The sequence below is a fragment of the Homo sapiens genome, chromosome 12, assembly GCF_000001405.40.
Source record: "Homo sapiens chromosome 12, GRCh38.p14 Primary Assembly".
Classification (NCBI taxonomy): domain Eukaryota; kingdom Metazoa; phylum Chordata; class Mammalia; order Primates; family Hominidae; genus Homo; species Homo sapiens.
In genome coordinates, this window is record NC_000012.12 from 45,696,080 (window position 1) to 45,698,422 (window position 2,343).

General features: G+C 51.3%; 1 annotated feature.

Moving 5' to 3' along the window:
• Nucleotides 622-790: a silencer, noted in NCBI's record as "fragment chr12:46090484-46090652 (GRCh37/hg19 assembly coordinates)". NCBI's record gives its function as "represses an EF-1alpha promoter that drives an FKBP-Casp9 reporter gene in an ReSE screen in phorbol 12-myristate 13-acetate-treated (for megakaryocytic differentiation) K562 erythroleukemia cells {active_cell/tissue: K562(+PMA)}" and the evidence as "EXISTENCE:reporter gene assay evidence [ECO:0000049][PMID:32094911]".

A 2,343-nucleotide genomic window follows, 5' to 3' on the forward strand; every position in this document is an offset into this window, starting at 1 on the left:
CCTCTGGGCCAGAGGGGCCTCTGCTTGGGCTTTGCTTGTGGCTGTTGGGCTTGCTGTGGCCACTTGGCTGGCAGGCTGCACTCGGCTGGCACTATTGGCCAGAATCCCACACCTGCCAAGGGCGAGCCAGGTGCGGGGCAGCAAAGTGTGAGTGAGTGAGCGCAGGGTCTGGCCACTGCACAGAGCCAGATGTGCTGGCTGCAGCAGGGCTCCAGGCACCAGCACAAGTGGGGCTCTGTGTGAGGCTGCGGCTGGACCAGATGTACCATAAGCAGCTTCCCCTGTGAACAAGGGGAACATGACAGCGCCCAGAAGCTTGAAGATGCCTGGAACTGCAGAGCCCCAAAGAGGGTGTTACAGTGTCACAGCCCTGACTTGGGGAGCACTGAGGTCTGGTCTCCCAGAAGGGCCACAGCAGCTCTTCTCTCCTTCTCTCGCCTGTAGTGTGGTGAAAGGGGGGGTGTGTTTCAGCCTTGTTTGTGTTACAACTCTTTCAGTCCTGCCACTTGGCAGGTCCCGAGTTCTTGTCCCATGAACAAGAAGAATGAGGTATGCAGACAACTGGAGAGTGAGCAAGGCAGAGAGGAGCTTCATTGAATGACAGAACAGCTCTCAGGAAACCGAAGTGGGTAGCTGCTTTCCACAGTCAGGTTGTCCTGACAAGTCAAGGAGACCCAGAGTGGTAGCTCCTTCTGGTAGCTGGTAGTCCCGACATCTGTGTGAGTCTGGCTGAGTCTGGGGGTTTTTAATGGGCTCAGAAGGGAGGAAGTGTGTGCTGATTGCTCCATGTGTGGCCATGGGTGGGCCCGGAAAAAGCACCTAAGTTCTCACTCTGGACTGGACTCCAGCTGGAACTGACAGCCTGGCCCCCAGGTTTCAGGCTGTCCATGGCTTGAAGGTAGGGCTTCACCAGGGACCTGCCCCTTTCCGCCCAGGAACCTGTCTGCCTCCCATGGCCATCAACATGCTGTCCAGGGCGCCCAGGCTGTTTGTGCCAATGGGTGCCTGCAGACTCATGGCGAGCCACCCTCAGTTCCCCCCAGCCTCCCTGAGCTCGTTGGTGCCCAAAGTTTCAGAGGGGGCTGAGGCAGTTGTAGGGCTAGCATGTCAGCGCTGCCTTGAACGTGTGCACACCTGTCAGGGTCACGACAGTGCCTGGGCTCAGCTTGCTTCAACTTTGCTCTGAAATCAGAGCAGGCCCTGGGAGTTGGGAGAGGCCAGGGAGTGGGAGCAGGCACTTCCAAGCCTGTGGGAGAAGGGGGGCTTCCCGGGTCCCTGAGAGTGCAGGGATGCCCAGGTCCGGATCCATGGCTGGGTAGCTGCAGCTGCACTTGGGAGCCCAGGCACCTGCCCTGCCAACTCGGTAGGAGGCAGGGCTCTTGCCTGTTCCCAGCTCCCACTGGCCCCACGGAACTTGTGACCCTGGCTCCACCTGCCCTGCTGTAGCCACCGTCTTTGCAGTGGCCACTCCAGACAGGCTACTGCTGCTATCAATTTGTTGTGCTGAAACTGCAAAGGAAAGGGGTGGCATCAGGCAGTTGGTTATCAGTGATAAAGTTGTTTAAAGGGCTGGTTTCTGTTTAGCCCTTAGGGAAGAAAGCCTATGGTGGTTATGGAGGGAGCGGGTATAATGAGGCATGTTCTACCCACATCCCGTCATGGTTGGGAACTCAGTTTTCAAGGTTTCTCTGGGATGCCCTTGGCTGAGAGATAGTCTCTTCAGTTGGTTTGGGGGCTCGGAATTTTTTTTTTTTAATTTCACAATACCAAATGAGTGGTGATAACAATTAGGTTATTGGGCACGCAAAGGAAGAGTTGTATGACCTAGAGTACTCTATACTCTATATTAGTAACCCATAAAGTTTGAAGTGGAGGAAAGTAGGGGAGGAGGAGCAGACACATCTGTGAATCAAATGAAAGCTATGGATCCTCCCTTGCAGAAAACGCACATGAAGCATGCACCCAAAGATTCACATACAATTAATTTTATTGCACTGAAAATAGATTTTCTTACATAAAATTAAAAAAATATACTTTTACTAAGATTTGTCTTCCTTTTTATATACAAAAATTAACAGTTTCATTCTGAAAAACAAATAGGAAACCAAAACCAAATTGTTCAGAGAAAACAAAAAGTTAGCTTTAATTCTGCTTAAAATTTCATTGAGAAGGCTGTTTGTCTTGATTGTGAAGTTGACACAGAGGAGTTGTCTTTGCCTTAGCTACATATATGTCATCTGTAACATCGGTGATTGTAGTGTTTCTTGTTTTTTGGATCTCTGCCTACTGGGAAATTGATAAAACTTTATCAATTCAAGTTGCATGATGAAGTTTTATCACCTC